Source organism: Homo sapiens, chromosome 3 (genome assembly GCF_000001405.40).
Source record: "Homo sapiens chromosome 3, GRCh38.p14 Primary Assembly".
NCBI lineage: Eukaryota > Metazoa > Chordata > Mammalia > Primates > Hominidae > Homo > Homo sapiens.
Genome location: NC_000003.12, coordinates 129,166,332 through 129,184,051, shown reverse-complemented (window position 1 = coordinate 129,184,051; position 17,720 = coordinate 129,166,332). Strand labels below are relative to the sequence as shown.

General features: G+C 42.9%; 1 protein-coding gene across 6 annotated transcripts, besides 6 other annotated features; it reads left to right on the top strand.

Moving 5' to 3' along the window:
* On the top strand, positions 156–16,225 carry CNBP (CCHC-type zinc finger nucleic acid binding protein). Of its 6 annotated transcripts, none has more exons than NM_001127196.2 (5): positions 156–276; positions 12,281–12,397; positions 12,514–12,606; positions 12,775–12,973; positions 13,482–16,225. In NM_001127196.2, the coding sequence occupies exons 2-5, from the start codon at positions 12,295–12,297 to the stop codon at positions 13,597–13,599; spliced, it is 513 nt and encodes a 170-aa protein (NP_001120668.1). In that variant the 5' UTR covers positions 156–276; positions 12,281–12,294; the 3' UTR covers positions 13,600–16,225. The 6 variants fall into 6 exon arrangements, with proteins under 6 accessions (NP_001120668.1, NP_001120667.1, NP_001120666.1 ...); NM_001127195.2 differs by having other exon boundaries at positions 12,772–12,973; NM_001127194.2 differs by having other exon boundaries at positions 12,769–12,973.
* Positions 11,319–11,356: a tandem repeat.
* Positions 11,319–11,479: a biological region, named in NCBI's record as "myotonic dystrophy type 2 repeat instability region".
* Positions 11,320–11,479: a nucleotide motif, noted in NCBI's record as "nucleotide_motif; DM2 repeat, (TG)18(TCTG)10(CCTG)8GCTG(CCTG)TCTG(CCTG)TCTG(CCTG)7TCTG region found on the minus strand relative to the reference genome". NCBI's record gives the evidence for it as "COORDINATES:manual assertion [ECO:0000218][PMID:22723857]".
* Positions 11,357–11,392: a tandem repeat.
* Positions 11,393–11,475: a tandem repeat.
* Positions 11,396–11,427: a repeat instability region, noted in NCBI's record as "repeat instability region; expansion of the (CCTG)n tetrancucleotide repeat (CAGG on the opposite strand) is associated with myotonic dystrophy type 2". NCBI's record gives the evidence for it as "EXISTENCE:Southern hybridization evidence [ECO:0000078][PMID:11486088]".

Below are 17,720 nucleotides of genomic sequence, written 5' to 3'. Positions count from 1 at the left end.
AAAAGACGCTGCGCGCAGAAACACCCGCCCCGCGCCGCGCTCTAGTGGGCGGCCCTGCCGCGGGCGGCTCTGATTGGACTGCCGAACCCCGCGCGCTGATTGGCCGCGTGGGCGAGGCGGAGGAGAGCCGTGCGCAGCGGCGTATGTGGGGCCGTGTGCAGACCCGCGTGTGGCGCAGGCAAGGACCCTCAAAATAAACAGCCTCTACCTTGCGAGCCGTCTTCCCCAGGCCTGCGTCCGAGTCTCCGCCGCTGCGGGCCCGCTCCGACGCGGAAGGTGAGGGCTGGGGGAGGGGCCCGGCGCTGACGGAGCCGCAGTGCGGGTCGGGTCTGTGGCGGACAGAGAGGGTAGGGAGCGGCGAGGTGGCGATGGCGGCCGCACTTTGGCCTGCGCCTCTGCTGCGTCAGGCGGGAAGCTCGGCTGCTGCCGCCGCCTCGGACCCGGGTTTCTGGCGCACCGCTGTCGGACGACACTTCTGTCCTTTCTTCGTCCTGGAAAGCTGGGTCGCCGAGCATGCGGGTCTTTCGGCGCCACGGCCGCACCCCAGGCCGCAGGCTTAGGGCAGAGGAGGCCCGCCCGTGCGCCCTTGGGGCCGAGGCCCTGACGCTTCGAGGGTCGCGGAATGAGGGACCGAGGGTGGATTTGGCGGGAACTCACTGGAAGGAGTCCGTGTGGTGGGGAAAGGCTCCCGGCTGCGGATGAAGGGGGGATGGGGTGGGTATAGTCGTGCAGGCCATGTGCTGGGGTCGTGCGCCTGGCGGGCCATGTGCCAAGGGTTTTGGGGGCCTTAGAAAAGGGTTCTTAGGCCGGGCGCGGTGGCTCACGCCTGTAATCCCAGCACTTTGAGAGTCCCAGGCGGGCGGATCACGAGGTCAGGAGTTCGAGACCAGCCTGACCAATATGGTGAAAGTTGGTCTGTACTAAAAATAAAAAATTAGCCGGGCATGGTGGCGGGCGCATGTAGTCCCAGCAGCTCGGGAGGCTGGACAGGAGAATCGCGTGAACCCCGGAGGCCGAGGTTGTGGTGAGCCGAGATCGCGCCACTACACTCCAGCATGGGCAACAGAGAGAGACTCCGTCTTAAAAAAACAAACAAACAAACAAACAAACAACAACAAAGGGTTCCTGAAGAAGCCTTTGTGTTTGGAGTGGCGAGACTGCTGGAAGACTTGGGAGCTTTTAGAGTTTATACTCCCTATCCTTGATAGTTTTCCGATTCTTGAATTTTTATCGTCATTTAAATACTAAGTTGCTTGTGTTACATTACCATTCCAAAAGGGGCTGATGGGGCTCACATTCCAAGAGTTAACACTATTTAAGTTGCTGGGATCCTTTAAAAGCGCCATTACCAGAAAAAACACGAATTTGTCAAACCTCCAAAACCACAGCAGCGGGCGGTAGTCTGCATCATTTCTTGGATTAATGAAACAGATGTAATTACAAACGAGACACGAAATTCAACTAGCTCCCCTCCATCTAGATTTTTCCATATCGTGAGAACCTGTTTTAGAATGGCATAATGGTCCACATTTGGGTTTAGGTGTTGATTTTATTATGGGTAAGGCTTGTGCTTGTTCCCACATGTTAACCATATGGCCTCAGCCACAGGGCACTTCCAAAGGAAGTGACTGTTTCTGGTCTTGGGGGTCTTGTAAAAAGAGAACATTGCTCAGTAATCGTCTGTGATTTTAGCTAGTGTGTTTCAGGCATTATTCAGAAGGACTCAGGTGAGATAAGCCAAAACTGAATTTGTTTTTTGTCTTTCTCAAAGTGAAGGAGGTCTAATGAATATCCCCATCTTGCTTTTAAATTACATTTTTAAAAGTAGATTTTTCCCCCTTTCCTATTGTTTGACCCAATTTTGGAGTGAAACGTAACCAGTTACTATTTCCATTCGAATTTAAATTAGCAATTTTATGTTATTTGTTTGTTCAAGCAGTATAACTGGAGTGTAGAGCTTTGAGGGTTTCAAAAAGATAAGAGATATAGTACTTATCTCCTGGGCTTCCCCCTCCCCCCTCCTAAATAGTTTTAAATGCTTCTAATGAGTTACTCTGGTTAAGGATAATCAAACACCTGTAAACTGCCAGGATCCTAGGTACATGCTGTTTTTAGTTTGTTGAGCCTGATTCTTGTCTACAAGAGTTCTTTGTGTATTGGAATATAAAAGGAATAATTTATTACATTCCCAAGGGCAGAATTAAAGACTTAAGTTTTTCCGATTTCATCTCTTGATAAGTTTTTCTTTAAAAAAATAACAGTTTGTGTTTTTCTGAGGAACCAAAGGTCCTCTTTTTTTTCATATTGGTAACAGGAGAGGTAATGTATTTCAGATGGTGCAGTCTGTAAAATATTTTGAACCAAATCAGTGGAAGACCAGGGGTTTTTCTTTTTTTTTTTCTGAGACGGAGTCTCACTCTGTCGCCCAAGCTGGAGTGCAGTGGCGCGATCTCGGCTCACTGCGACCTCCGCCTCCCGGATTAAGCGATTCTCCTGCCTCAGCCTCCGAAGTAGCTGGGATTACAGGCGCCCGCCGCCACACCCAGCTAGTTTTTGTATTTTAGTACAGACGGGGTTTCACCATGTTGGCCAGGCTGGTCTCGAACTCCTGACCTTGTGATCCGACTCCCTCGGCCTCTCAAAGTGCTAGGATTACAGGCAGGAGCCACCGCGCCTGGCCAGGTTTTTCTTAAACTGGCATTTGAACATCTGGAACAGGCAGGGAGATGTCTTTTTTAAAGTATAAATGTGTTTTGTTACATGATTTATGACAATTCTACTTGTCTTTTTTTTTTTTTTTTTTTTTTTTTTTGAGACAGAGTCTTTCTCTGTCGGCCAGGCTGGAATGCAGTGGCACAGTCTCGGCTCACAGCAGCCTCCATCTCCCGGGCTCAAGCAATTCTCCTGCCTCAGCCTCCCAAGTAGCTGGGATTACAGGCGTGTGCCACCACGCCCGGCTAATTTTTGTATTTTTTGTAGAGACGGGGTTTCACCATGTTGGCCAGGCTGGTCTTGATCTCCTGACCTCAGGTAATTCACCCGCCTCGGCCTCCCAAAGTGCTGGGATTACAGGCCTGAGCCACCGTGCCTTGCCAACAATTCTACTTGTCTTTTAAAGTTCAATAAAAATATGTGGCACGTATATGGGATAGTACCAAACTGGTGCCTAAAAGCAGTGAAACCACCATTGGACTAATTGGAATGATTTGTCTATTGGCTGAAGATTTGACCACAGAGAGATTCTGCTTTTTTTTCCTTGCAGGGATGAAAAATTAAAAAAAAAAAAAAAGATTGGTTCCTTTTTCTCTTCCTAGCCTCCTGACAGTAAGTAGAGAGCCAGAAGAATGATGCCAAGGCATCCTGGCCTGCTATGTGGAGAACGCTCTTTCCTTACTGTCTCACTTAATAGAACTCCTGTTCTGGCAGTGTCAGATGCTGCAGCAGCAAGGGAATGCCATTGAGTGATTGCAGTAAGCTATGCAGCATTTTCATGTTTAAAACTACTGAGATAATAAAGTGAGAACTTGAGGCCACCAAATTTTAAGTTGTAATTAGAAGGATTTTGTTAATTAGGAATATGAGAGTGCTACAGTGATCACCTGGAATGGCTCCATAAATACAAATGAGGTGTTAACTAGTGAAGCAAGTTGCCAGTGTTTGTGTGTTTGGTGAGACTCCTAAGTTCTGCCATGAAGTTAAAGAAAATATTTTTTAAGATTCAAGAAAGCTGTGTGAATGAATTCAAAATTATTATGACTGTAGATCTTTTAAAAAGCTATCAGTATTAGTTTTACTTTGATTTTTATCTAAAGAGAAATACAGAATGAATACTTACAGCATTACAATTCAAATGTGCGTGGCTTTTTTTTTTCTTAGTTACTAGATATATAGTAGTAATACCTTTATGTAATATTTTGAAGTAGAGATTGAATTGGTATAATTCCCTACCTTAAAAATATTACACAATAGCATTTTTGTCATATATTACGATAGCATTTTTGTGTACTTTACCACTTAACTTTTTTTTTCCTTTTCTTTTTTTTTTGGAGACAAAGTCTTGCTCTGTCGCCCAGGCGGGAGTGCAATGGCAGGATCTCAGCTCACTGCAACCTCTGCCTCCTGGGTTTAAGCCATTCTCCTGCCTCAGCCTCCTGAGTAGCTGGGACTATAGGCGTGTGCCACCACGCCCGGCTAATTTTTGTTTTTTTAGTTTTTTTTGGAGACGGAGTCTCGCTTTGTCACCCACACTGGAGTGCAAATGGCATGATCTCGGCTCACTGCAGCCTCCACCTCCTGGGTTCAAGCGATTCTCTTGCCTCATGCACCACCACGCCCAGTTAATTTTTGTATATTTAGTAGAGATGGGGTGTCACTATGTTGGCCAGGCTGCCGACCTCAAGTGATCTTCCCTCCTCAGCCTCCCAAAGTGCTGGGATTACAGGCATGAGCCACTGCCCCTGGCCAGTGTCAGATGTTTAGTTTGTCATTAAAATGGAGCAAGAATACATAACTCGTGAGGTTGTAAGATTATAGATATGTTTACTAATGACTGACTCATAGATATCCAGCTGTTAAAACTCTTCAAGAAGTAATCAGGGCAGGCGGAAATGGATGTAATTAACCAAGGTCAAGCAGTAAGTTCAGGAACCAGGATAAAAATACAGAATTGCTCCCGAGTAAGTACTCTGTTTTCCATTATTCTGGCTGGAATGCAGGTAATACAGAAAGTATATTGCTTCCTTTCATTGCTTTTTTTTTCTTCTTTTTTTCCTTTGAGGTGGAGTTTCGCTCTTGTTGCCCAGGCTGGAGTGCGATGGCATGATCTCGGCTCACCGCAACCTCTGCCTCCCGGGTTCAAGCGATTCTCCTGCCTCAGCCTCCTGAGTATTTGGAACTACAGGCACGGGCCACCACACCCGGCCAATTTTGTGTTTTTAGTAGAGACGGGATTTCTCCATGTTGGTCAGGCTGGTCCTGAGCTCCCGACCTTTGGTGATCCACCCACCTCTGCCTCCCAAAGTGCTGGGATTACAGGTGTGAGCCAGCACACCCGGCCCCCATAGTTCGTTTTTATTAAAAGAATCTGGGCCATCCTGGCTAACACGGTGAAACCCCCGTCTCTACTAAAAATACAAAAAAAAAGTAGCCAGGCGTCGTGGTGGGCACCTGTAGTCCCAGCTACTCGAGAGGTTGAGGCAGGAGAATGGGGTGAACCTGGGAGGTGGAGCTTGCAGTGAGCCGAGATCGTGCCACTGCACTCCAGCCTGGGCGAAGCAAGACTCCGTCTCAAAAAAAAAAAAAATCTGAAGTGTTTCAGTACCATGTTGGGACAGTAAACTGACTTAACGGAGCATAATAATGTGCATACTTACATACATTCAGAGGGCAAAAGCTCCAGTATGGTCTAAATGCAGTTAAGTGAACAACATGAATGAGTCAGGGATAACCCTGAGCTTGCGAAAAGTAAGCATATATACAAATGTGAATGTGTACAGCTGTGTTAGAAAACCATATAAAATAATAAAGATAGCCAGAATCATACCCTACTTTGCTAGTGTCATTTTTATCTCCAACTTGCCTGTTGCTACTTTATTTTAAATGTATTTTCTAGGACAGAGTTATGAACATTCTATTTATTAGAACCCTAGTTGTTAGTCTTGACCACATACTGTTAGATTTTAGTAGTTTACTATATTTGTTTTTAGTATCAATAGTATGGTACAAGTACTGACATTAAGGAAGACAAATTAGTATACTAACCATTTGTGGTTTCTTTAATTCCAAGATAAGTTCAAAATGTGTAAAATAGTTACACCTCTTAGTTTAGCATACATGGCTCCTCACAGTAAATCTTAAGTCTTGTCAGACCTTATTTTTTTTTTTTTTTTTTTTTGAGACAGAGTCTTGCTCTGTTGCCCAGGCTGGAGTGCAGTGGTGCGATCTTGGCTCACTGCAACCTCTGCCTCCTGGGTTCAAGCAATTCTTGTGCGTCAGCCTCCTGAGTAGCTGGGATTACAGGCATGCACCACCATGTCCAGCTAATTTTTGTATTTTTAGTAGAGACAGGGTTTCACCATGTTGGCTAGCTGGTCTCGAACTCCTGACCTCAGGTGATGCATCTGCCTCGGCCTCCCAAAATGCTGGGATTAGAGGTGTGGGCCACCCCGCCCGGCCCAGACCTTATCTTGACTATCTTAGTCATTTCTTCTCTTGCCTGACATGCCCTGTGCTCCTACCACCCTTTAAAGTGGTTTGTGTCATAAACATTTGATACACAAAAATGGAAACTTAGGACAAATATCTTGATGTCTGGTGGTTGAAAATGTGAACTGATTTGGAAATCACCGGTGTTTCTCCTCTTAATCTCTTCTCCATTCCATTCAGGAAATAGACTGTAAGGTGGGAAACAAGTATAAGCAGTTAGCCTCACTCTAAACCTGCTATGTAATAGACATTGGACTGAGTTCTGTCTACTCTCTGTAAGCAATCCAAGGTAATTGGCGAAAGTGGAAGGAATATGTACTCAGAAGACCAAAACTTTGGTTTTTAAATTGAATATCTATTAAGCACAAGGTAACAATTCTTACCACACACATCAGTTTTATTATTTCCCTTTTACAAATAAGACACAGATGGGTAGTCAGATGTCTTTGAGGTAACACAGCAAGTAGTTAAACTGGGTTAAGTGATTAACCCAGGTTGAGTATGGTTCCAAAATCTCTTACAGTGTCAGGCAGGCTACATCAGTGCAGTATACGTACATCAGGTTTCACGAAAAATTTTTTCCAGAGAAAACACAAACCCAAGGAACCTTCAGTAAGTGGTGCCTTATATTAGTGGTTTTTAGCAAAAGGAAGAAACTTAAGTGTTTTCCTGCTGCCTGACAAAAGTGAAAAACAGTATTTTGGTTTTTATTGAAGTTAGCATGTATGTTTGTAGCTTGCATAAAATAGTACTGAAATCCAATTGATTATGAATTCTTGGACTAACAGAACCTGGATGACAAATTAGAGGTTCTGGCCTGGTTGCTGGCTTTTTTAGTTGTCTTGGGTGTAAATTTCTCAGCCACACGTGGGGATTGTGTTAGATAATCTGAAATCTAATTTTCATGGTTTTATGATTCAGCAGCTTTCTTCCTTTGATATTTTCTAGTATTTGCTTTATTATAGATTGGAATCCTCAAAATAACATTGACAAGTAGAAGATACTTCTGTTAGTGGATTTAAAAAAAAATTACATTGGGAATGTCCTTTGAGTGGTTGGCCCTAATCCCTGTCAGAAGCTGAAAGTTGTGGATCCTAAATTCATCTGGGCAGAATCTCACCTATGATTTCAGAAAGCTGAGAGTTTCAGAGAGTGACTGTAGTCAGTCCTTAGTGAGTACAAAATTGAGAATACATCATTACTTTAAATTAATGGTGCAGTAACTCTTGTGACTGATAGCAATAATTTAGGTGCTTTGTTGTTAGTACTTGATTAGATTGGATTGGGTCAGTTAGTTTCACCAAATTGCTAAAGACACCTGTCCCCCTAGAATTAAAATACTGAGTTACATAATGGCTACTAAAAGGATAACTATATGGGGTGTTCGATGATTCAAAGGTGAATTACTTGGTCTCTACCTTCAAGGAATATGATACAAGGCAATATGGTACTGCCATTAGACAGATATTAACAAAGTGTCTTGGGACTTAATAGGGAGGGTAGTTCCAGGCTGGGAGATGTAGTCAGATTCTTTTATAGAGTTGGCATTTGAGTTGGCCCGTGAAGGTTGGAAAAAGTTGTGACAGGTGGAAAAGGAGCAGGGGAGACCAGGACAGTGCAGTGAAATTCCAGCCAGGAGCAGTCACAGGCAATGAGACAGACTCATGGAGCCATGATTCTCAGCTGTCTTACCTTACCTTAGTTTTCCTAAGGAATATCATGGAATTCTGTAAAGACCTTTAAACTAAATAATGTTCATATGAGATGAGTGCTAGGATGGGGACCTGCTGCCTAATATAAGTAGTGTGAGTCTAAAACATTGTGGAAAGTGGTTAGTTTAATAATGTTATTAAAGAGACAAGTCTATCACAAGGGACCAGTTACCAGTGAAACTGTAGACCACCTGATTCACTGCGATAGGGTTAGCCAAAGGGAGGAGAGGGCAGATTGCATACATAGTACCTAAGGCCACTCAAAGACCTCTTTTAAAATCACGTGTCATGTTGATGACATTTGGAGGCTATTAATGTTTTTCTTCCCTTTTAAGACTTAGTGTTTTCTTTATTAGCATTAATTTACTCTAGTAAACAAAATTATGTGTGACTAAAAATGGCAAAACAGGCTGGGCGCAGTGGCTCACGCCTGTAATCCTAACACTTTGGGAGGCCAAGGCGGGTGGATCACTAGGTCAGGAGATCGAGACCATCCTGGCCAACATGGTGAAACCCCGTCTCTACTAAAATACAAAAAATTACCTGGGCGTGGTGGTGCACGCCTGTAGTCCCAGCTATGTGGGAGGCTGAGGCAGGGGAATCGCTTGAACCCAGGAGGTGAAGGTTGCAGTGAGCCAAGATGGCGCCACCGCACTCCAGCCTGGTGACAGAGCGAGACTGTCTCAAAAAAAAAAAAAAAAAAGCAAAACATCTAAAACTTCTGTTATATTCTAGTGTGTAAAGTTCTGCCTTTGCCACTGAGATGCATATCTGTTTTACAGAATAGTTTTTTTTCTTTCTTTCTTTCTTTGAAGACGGAGTCTTGCTCTGTCACCCAGGTTGGAGTGTGGTGGCCCAGTCTCAGCTCACTGCAACCTCCACCTCCCGGGTTCAAGCGATTCTCCTGCCTCAGCCTCTCGAGTAGCTAGGACTACAGGCGCGTTACCACCACGCCTGGGTAATTTTTTTATTTTAGTAGATTTGGGGTTTCACCATGTTGGCCAGGATGGTCTTGATTTCCTGACCTCATGATCCGCCTGCCTCCCAAAGTGCTGAGATTACAGGCGTGAGCCACCACGCCTGCCCTAATTTTGTGTTTTTAGTAGAGATGGAGTTTCACTGTGTTGGTCAGGCTGATGTCCAACTCCTGACCTCAGGTGATCCTCCTGCCTTGGCGTCCCAAAGTGCTGGGATTACAGGTGTGAGCCACTGTGCCCATCCTTGTTTTGTATTTTCTAAAAGAGATGTATCTTGTTTAAATATTAAATTATAAGATATTCAGGCCTTGCAAATTGTCTGGATTACACTGTAAAAGTAATCATTTATGTGCAAATAATTCCTTGAGATCAATAGTTAAATGAGCTCAAGCTGATCTGACTAAATTGGAGAAGATACAAAATGAAGATGGGGAGGAAGTGGTGCCATAAGCAGCCTTTTTTCTTTGACCATTTTATATGCCTTTTTTTTTTTTTTTTTGAGATGGAGTTTCACTCTTGTAACCCACGTTGGAGTGCAATTGCTTGGCTTGCAACAACCTCCACCTCCCGGGTTCAAGAGATTATCCTGCCTCCGCCTCCTGAGTAGCTGGGATTATAGGCATGAGCCACCAAGCCTGGCTAATTTTGCATTTTTAGTAGAGACGGGGTTTCTCCTTCTTGGTGAGGCTGGTCTCGAACTCCCAACCTCAGGTGAACCATCCTCGTCGGCCTCCCAAAGTGCTGGGATTACAGGTGTGAGCCACCGTGCCCTGCCCGCCATTCGTTTTTTTTTTTTTTTTTTTTTTTTTAATTCTGACTCTTCTGTGGTGGAAACCAGCAAATACTTCACATAATTTAGGATGCTAATACTAGTACAGTTAAAAGAATGATTACAAAGCAGATACTATTTCAAATTCTGTAAAAATCTGTTTTTAATATCCTTCACTGGCTGTTTGTTCTGACTAGAAATGTTTTGTATATCTGAAAGCACCAGTAACTCATAGCCATATAATTTTTTTGGTAATATGTTCATAGGCAAGTGGCAAGAGTTAGTAGAAAGATTTCTCTAAGAATTTATCCTAAATCAGATTACACAGAGTTGGGGTAAGTGAGTATTGTGTTATTTTCTTTTGTATATTTGACAATGGGAACTTTTTGAAACTCAACTTCAGTGTAATTTTAAGTCACTAAATTTGTCCACAAGTTAATGATTAAACAGTTACTGAAAGTGGAGAACCTTGCCATTTTTCGGACTGCGTTTTGGGTCTTTGGCACTGTGGTTAGGTTAGCTAATTCGATTATCCACTCAAGTTTTACTCAGTTGGAAATATGTTTTTCTAGATGATGGTGCCTGTGCTTAGGTTTGAGAGGATATTTAAAATACGACTTTGTGTGCCATTGTTTGACAGTGGAATTAAGGGTAAAAATATTTAGATATGGAAGTGTGAAAATGTAGTTGCATTGTTTTCATTATGTTCTATTCCATTTCATTCTATTTTAAGAATAGCCTCAATTTATTTTTAGATTGTTACATAAGTACAAAATCCATTTGCTTTAGTGGGAGTTTTATTTTTATTTTAAAATGATAACCAATTAAAGGAGTTTATTATGAAATTCTAAGTAGCATTGTTTAAAATGTAAAATTACATTACAGAAACATTTGGAAAGGGGAGAATAAAAGAAAACAAAACACAAATGTTGCCAGTGCTGTAGGTGCTATTATTAGCGCTTTGGTGTAACTCATGGTCGTTTTCCTACTATTTTTATTATACAGTCATCTCTTGGTATCTGTGAAGTGGTTCCACAAACTCCCTCAAATACCAAAATCCTCCTATGCTCAAGTTCCCAATATAAAATAGTGTAGTACTTGCATTACAACCTTTGCACATCTTCCCATATACTTTAAAATCATCTTTAGATTACTTATAATACCTAACACAATGTAAATGCTGAATAAGTAGTTGTTAACATTGTATTGTTTAGGGAATAATGGCAAGAAAAGTCTGCATGTTCAATACAGATGCAACTTTTCCACTGAATATTTTTATTCCAAGGTTGGTTGAAGCCATGGATGCAGAACCCATGGATATAGAGGGCCTACTGTACTTGTACCATCTAGAGATAAGATTTGTATCTTGCATTTGTTTTAACATATCTGTTCTAAGGAATATCTCAGTCACCAGGCAAGTGCTGCAGTATAACTAGGTACTACGTCAGGTGCTAAGGTTAAGAGAGTATTTTCCTTCACTGACTCCTCACTCCGAGAATCCATTTTACAGCTTCATTGGTTTGGGTTATTCCAATTTTTTGATGTGAGTAAATAAATGACTTCTATTTGCCCAAAATAAAGCTTATATAGGCCTTATAACCATGCAAATGTGTCCATTAAGTTGGACTTGGAATGAGTGAATGAGTATTACTGCCAGTGTGTGTGTGTGTGTGTGTGTGTGTGTGTGTGTGTGTCTGTCTGTCTGTCTGTCTGTCTGTCTGTCTGTCTGTCTGCCTGCCTGCCTGCCTGCCTGCCTGCCTGCCTGGCTGCCTGTCTGCCTGTCTGCCTGCCTGCCTGCCTGCCTGCCTGCCTGTCTGTCTCACTTTGTCCCCTAGGCTGGAGTGCAGTGGTATGATCTCGGCTCACTGCAACCTCCACCCCCCGGGTTCAAGCGATTCTTCTGCCTCAGCCTCCTGAGTAGCTGGGATTACAGGCGCATGCCGCCATGCCCGGCTGTTTTTTGTATTTTTAGTAGAGACGGGGTTTCGCCATGTTGGCCAGACTGGTCTCAAACTCCTGACCTCAGATGGTCCACCCGCTTCAGCCTCCCAAAGTGCTAGGATTACAGGCATGAGCCACCGTGCCCAGCCACTACCAATTATTTCTCTTAATGGATTTTCATTGACCCTAACCCTGTAAATTCCATCACTTTTATCAAGGTGTATATTATAATAAGTCTATAATACCCAATCATGTAGTTGTGTGATTATTTTATTTTTTTGAGACAGAGTCTCAATGTTGCCCAGGCTGGAGTACAGTGGCACCATCTCAGCTCACTGTAAGCTCCGCCTCCTGGGTTCACACCATTCTCCTGCCTCAGCCTCCCAAGTAGCTGGGATTACAGGCGCCTGCCACTTCACCGGGCTAATTTTTTGTATTTTTCGTAGAGACGGGGTTTCACCATGTTAGCCAAGATGGTCTCGATCTCATGATCCACCCACCTCGGCCTCCCAAAGTGATGGGATTACTGGCGTGAGCCACCATGCCCAGCTATTTTTTTAACCAATATATTAGCTAGCTTTTTTCCCCAGAATAATTTTCCAAAAATACATTTAATAGAGAATAAAAGTTAAAAGAACTTTCAGTGGTTTAATGCTGTTACTTTTAATATTTCAAAGATCTGACTGCAGCCATGAGCAGCAATGAGTGCTTCAAGTGTGGACGATCTGGCCACTGGGCCCGGGAATGTCCTACTGGTGGAGGCCGTGGTCGTGGAATGAGAAGCCGTGGCAGAGGTGGTTTTACCTCGGATAGAGGTATTTTGTCGAATAGAAAAATTTGAAGTACTTCAGTATTTGTTAGTATCAAGACTGGTCTGACTAGCCGAATTCTTTGTTTTTGCTCAAAACAGGTTTCCAGTTTGTTTCCTCGTCTCTTCCAGACATTTGTTATCGCTGTGGTGAGTCTGGTCATCTTGCCAAGGATTGTGATCTTCAGGAGGATGGTAAGTATTTAACACTTCCTTTTCATACCCCTCTAGAGCTTGGAGAGGTGAGCACATGCAACTGTGTATAGCATTTCCACCTTTGAGGTTTTGTATTGTATAATTTAAAACGTAACACTTTGTAAAGGTTTTATAGTCTTGGCCTGTTTCTTTTCCTTATTGTTGAAGCCTGCTATAACTGCGGTAGAGGTGGCCACATTGCCAAGGACTGCAAGGAGCCCAAGAGAGAGCGAGAGCAATGCTGCTACAACTGTGGCAAACCAGGCCATCTGGCTCGTGACTGCGACCATGCAGATGAGCAGAAATGCTATTCTTGTGGAGAATTCGGACACATTCAAAAAGACTGCACCAAAGTGAAGTGCTATAGGTAAGGTGTCAGAATGTTGTTAGAAGAAAACTCATTGCAGAGATTCTTCCAGAGATGAATTAGCTATAAATGGAAGGGCCTTAGTAAATTCAGTGAAACTTAGCTGTGACCAGATAAGACCAATTTTCAGCATATGTAACTGGCAGTCTATCTGTATATAATTCTGTATTCTGCCCTGATATCCTGTGGCTTATGGTACCTGGGCAGTTTTCACAACTGGACTTTTTTAATATATAAAAGTAAGAGTGTTATAATTTGAAACTTCCAGAGACTTCATAGAAAGCTCTGTAATATACATAAATCTTTTATCATGTAACCAGAAATCTTTGCCTGTTTGTGACATGTAAGTGTATAATTTGATAAATGTTGTTGTGTACATATCTGTGAAACCTTAGGGGTTAATTGCATGAAAACAAAGATCAGGCGTTTTGTTCTGCATGGTGACTGTTGCTTTGGTAGACAGTTTTTTTCTGAGGCCCATTGTGAAAACTTTTAATTTCTTTTTTAGGTGTGGTGAAACTGGTCATGTAGCCATCAACTGCAGCAAGACAAGTGAAGTCAACTGTTACCGCTGTGGCGAGTCAGGGCACCTTGCACGGGAATGCACAATTGAGGCTACAGCCTAATTATTTTCCTTTGTCGCCCCTCCTTTTTCTGATTGATGGTTGTATTATTTTCTCTGAATCCTCTTCACTGGCCAAAGGTTGGCAGATAGAGGCAACTCCCAGGCCAGTGAGCTTTACTTGCCGTGTAAAAGGAGGAAAGGGGTGGAAAAAAACCGACTTTCTGCATTTAACTACAAAAAAAGTTTATGTTTAGTTTGGTAGAGGTGTTATGTATAATGCTTTGTTAAAGAACCCCCTTTCCGTGCCACTGGTGAATAGGGATTGATGAATGGGAAGAGTTGAGTCAGACCAGTAAGCCCGTCCTGGGTTCCTTGAACATGTTCCCATGTAGGAGGTAAAACCAATTCTGGAAGTGTCTATGAACTTCCATAAATAACTTTAATTTTAGTATAATGATGGTCTTGGATTGTCTGACCTCAGTAGCTATTAAATAACATCAAGTAACATCTGTATCAGGCCCTACATAGAACATACAGTTGAGTGGGAGTAAACAAAAAGATAAACATGCGTGTTAATGGCTGTTCGAGAGAAATCGGAATAAAAGCCTAAACAGGAACAACTTCATCACAGTGTTGATGTTGGACACATAGATGGTGATGGCAAAGGTTTAGAACACATTATTTTCAAAGACTAAATCTAAAACCCAGAGTAAACATCAATGCTCAGAGTTAGCATAATTTGGAGCTATTCAGGAATTGCAGAGAAATGCATTTTCACAGAAATCAAGATGTTATTTTTGTATACTATATCACTTAGACAACTGTGTTTCATTTGCTGTAATCAGTTTTTAAAAGTCAGATGGAAAGAGCAACTGAAGTCCTAGAAAATAGAAATGTAATTTTAAACTATTCCAATAAAGCTGGAGGAGGAAGGGGAGTTTGACTAAAGTTCTTTTTGTTTGTTTCAAATTTTCATTAATGTATATAGTGCAAAATACCATATTAAAGAGGGGAATGTGGAGGACTGAAAGCTGACAGTTTGGACTTTTCTTTTTGTACTTAAGTCATGTCTTCAATAATGAAAATTGCTGTTAAAAGGATGTATGGGATTTAGATACTTTTGCAAAGCTATAGAAAATTCACTTTGTAATCTGTTATAATAATGCCCTTGAGTTCTGTGTTCAGTCTGAACAGGTTTTTTGGTGGTGGTGGTTTTGTTTTGTTTTGGAGACGGAGTCTCACTCTTGTCGCCCAGGCTGGAGTGCAGGCTTGGCTCACTGCAACCTCCACCTCCCGGGTTCAAGCAATTCTCCTGCCTCAGCCTCCTGAGTAGCTGGGATTACAGGCACCCGCCACCACCCCCCGCTAATTTTTTGTATTTTTATTTTTATTTTATTTTTTTATTTTTTTTTGAGACAGAGTGTCGCTCTGTTGCCCAGGCTGGAGTGTAGTGGTGCGATCTCGGCTCACTGCAAGCTCCGCCTCCTGGGTTCGTGCCATTCTCCTGCCTCAGCCTCCTGAGTAGCTGGGGCTACAGGTACCCGCCACCGCGCCCAGCTAATTTTTTTTTTTTGTATTTTTAGTAAAGACGGGGTTTCACGGTGTTAGCCAGGATGGTCTCAATCTCCTGACCTCGTGATCCGCCCGCCTTGGCCTCCCAAAGTGCTGGGATCACAGGCGTGAGCCACCGCGCCCGGCCTATTTTTTGTATTTTTAGTAGAGACTGGGTTTCATCATGTTGGTCGGGCTGGTCTCCAACTCCTGACCTCAGGTGATCCACCTGCCCCGCCCCCCAAAGTGCTAGTGTTACAGGTGCGAGCCACCGTGTCTGGCCGATTCTGAACAGTTTTAATACCATTGCTATTTTTGTGTTTTTCCTGGGCCTTTTTTTTTTTTTTTTTTTTTTTTGAGACAGTCTCGCTCTGTTGCCCAGGCTAGAGTGCAATGGTGCAATCTCAGCTCACTGCAACCTCCACCCCCCACCCCCACACCCCGTTCAAGTAATTCTCCTGCCTCAGCCTCCCAAATAGCTGGGATTACAGGTGTCCGCCACCACACCCAGCTAATTTTTGTTATTTTTAGTAGAGATGGGGTTTCACTGTGTTGGTCAGGCTGGTCTCCAACTGTTGCCCTCAGGTGAGCCACTGTGCCCCACCTTTTCCTGGGTTTCATAAGGATCTGAAGTGGTGGATTCCTTGTTTTTGCTAGTGTCTCATTTAGAGTTGAGATGGACCTTAAAACTCATCTGTTTTAACTCACTTTTTAATAGATGAGTTAAACTTAATTTACTTAAGGATGTACAGTTAGAGCCTGGAACTTCAACCATTATTCACTCCCCATGCCCTGTTTCCCCCCACTTCGAAATTAAATGCGGTTAGCATCATATAGTTCATTTTCCCCCTCCATGCTGCTGTGTGATTCTTGACTTTGGGTATGAGTTTTTCATCCTTCATGCAGGGTTCTGTCAGTTCATGGTATAGTGATTCAGTGTTAAAATGGTGGTGTCTCAGCTGTGCTGTGCACATTCCAACCTTGTCAAATTAATAGTCCTGAGCAAGCAAGAAAAAGAGGTAATAACATACCCATTTCTTTATGAATATAAGCTTATAATATTTTTTCATGTGCTATTTTTACTGAGCAAATTGTATGTCTCACATGTTAACACAATAAATATCTTGACAATTTTATTTTCTACCATATGTATGAAACAGCATAAGGAAAGACTTTTTTTCGAAGGCATCACTGTTAGGTTGGGGGAAAGATTTATTTTTGAAGGCATCACTGTTAAATGAGGTTTGGGGGCTGGTGTGCACATGGAGTTATTTCCCCCCAAATTCTGGGCCTCATGTAGGAAAACCTAAAACATAGCAAATGGGATATGTTGTTATGGCTCTTCAGGTCAGCTTAGTTCTCATTAATAATACTTTCTCCTGCGTTAATCACAGCTTTGTGTGTTGGGAAGGGAAAAAGTAAAGTGGGTTGGTTAAAATTTAGAACTCCTTTGCTTCATGCACCCATTCCTTGTGCTGAATTTGTAGTACTTTAGTTGCTTTGTGAGACCTTTTGAAACAACATAATTAAGGACCTATTCACAGGAGACTACAAAGTGTTCCTTTATAAGATAAAATTTATTTGCATTGACCTTGATGACTGGAAAGCAAATGCAACATGAAAATGTGTATTTTACAGAGAAATCCGGCTAACTAAAAGGAGTCACACTGGGCGTGGTGGCTTATTCCTGTGATCCCAGCACTTTGGGAAGCCAAGACGGGTGGATCATGAGGTCAGGAGTTCGAGACCAGCCTGGCTGACATGGGGAAACCCTTGTCTCTACTGAAAATGCAAAAATTAGCCAGGTGTGGTGTCACACGCCTTGATTCTCAGCTACTCAGGAGGCTGAGGCAGGAGAATACCTCGAACCAGGAGGCAGAGGTTGCAGTGAGCCAAGATTGGCGCCATTGCGCTCCATTCTGGGGAACAGACAGACTCCGTCTCAAAAAAAAAAAAAAACAGTACAATGAACCCCCCATGTGTTCTCGATCTAGAGTTAACAATAGTTTGAAAGTAAGTTATAGACGTGACATCACTTTATCATGCATCTTATAAGATGTTCTCATTACCACAGTACCATTATCATACTTAATGTATCTAAACATTCCCTAGTATCTGATATCTAATACTATATTCAAATAGCATAATTGTGTCTAAGAAGTGTTATGTAGCTACGTTTTCCAAACCAGGATCCAGTCAGCATTTATGAGTTGCATTAGGTTAATTTGTTTCTTTTTCTTACTTTGAGAAGGAGTCTTGCTCTGGAGCTCAGTGGCATGATCTTGGCCCACTGCAACGTCCGCCTCCTGGGTTCAAGCAATTCTCGTGCCTCAGCCTCCTGAGTAGCTGAGATTACAGGTGCCTGCCACCAAGCCCAGCTAATTTTTTTTAGTAGAGACAGGGTTTCACACTGTTGGCCAGGTTGGTCTCTAACTCCTGACCTCAAGTGATCCGCCCACCTCAGCCCCCCAAAGTGCTGGGATTACAGGCGTGAGCCACTGTGCCCGGCCAGGTTAATCGGTTTCTTTAGTTTGTCTTACTCTCCTAACTTAACTGTTAGGAGGCTACAACAGTTTTTTTGAATGTCCTCTATTTACTGGTTTTCTTACGGTACCGTTTAACTTGTTTTTC

What these genes read in the sequence shown, in the direction of transcription:
- CNBP (NM_001127192.2), top strand. Translation starts at nt 12,295, where the DNA reads ATGAGCAGCAATGAGTGCTTCAAGTGTGGACGATCTGGCCACTGGGCC. An exon ending in TGGTTTTACCTCGGATAGAG is followed by an intron (nt 12,419 to 12,513) that starts GTATTTTGTCGA and finishes TGCTCAAAACAG; the next exon opens with GTTTCCAGTTTGTTTCCTCG. An exon ending in TTGTGATCTTCAGGAGGATG is followed by an intron (nt 12,607 to 12,768) that starts GTAAGTATTTAA and finishes TTTTCCTTATTG; the next exon opens with TTGAAGCCTGCTATAACTGC.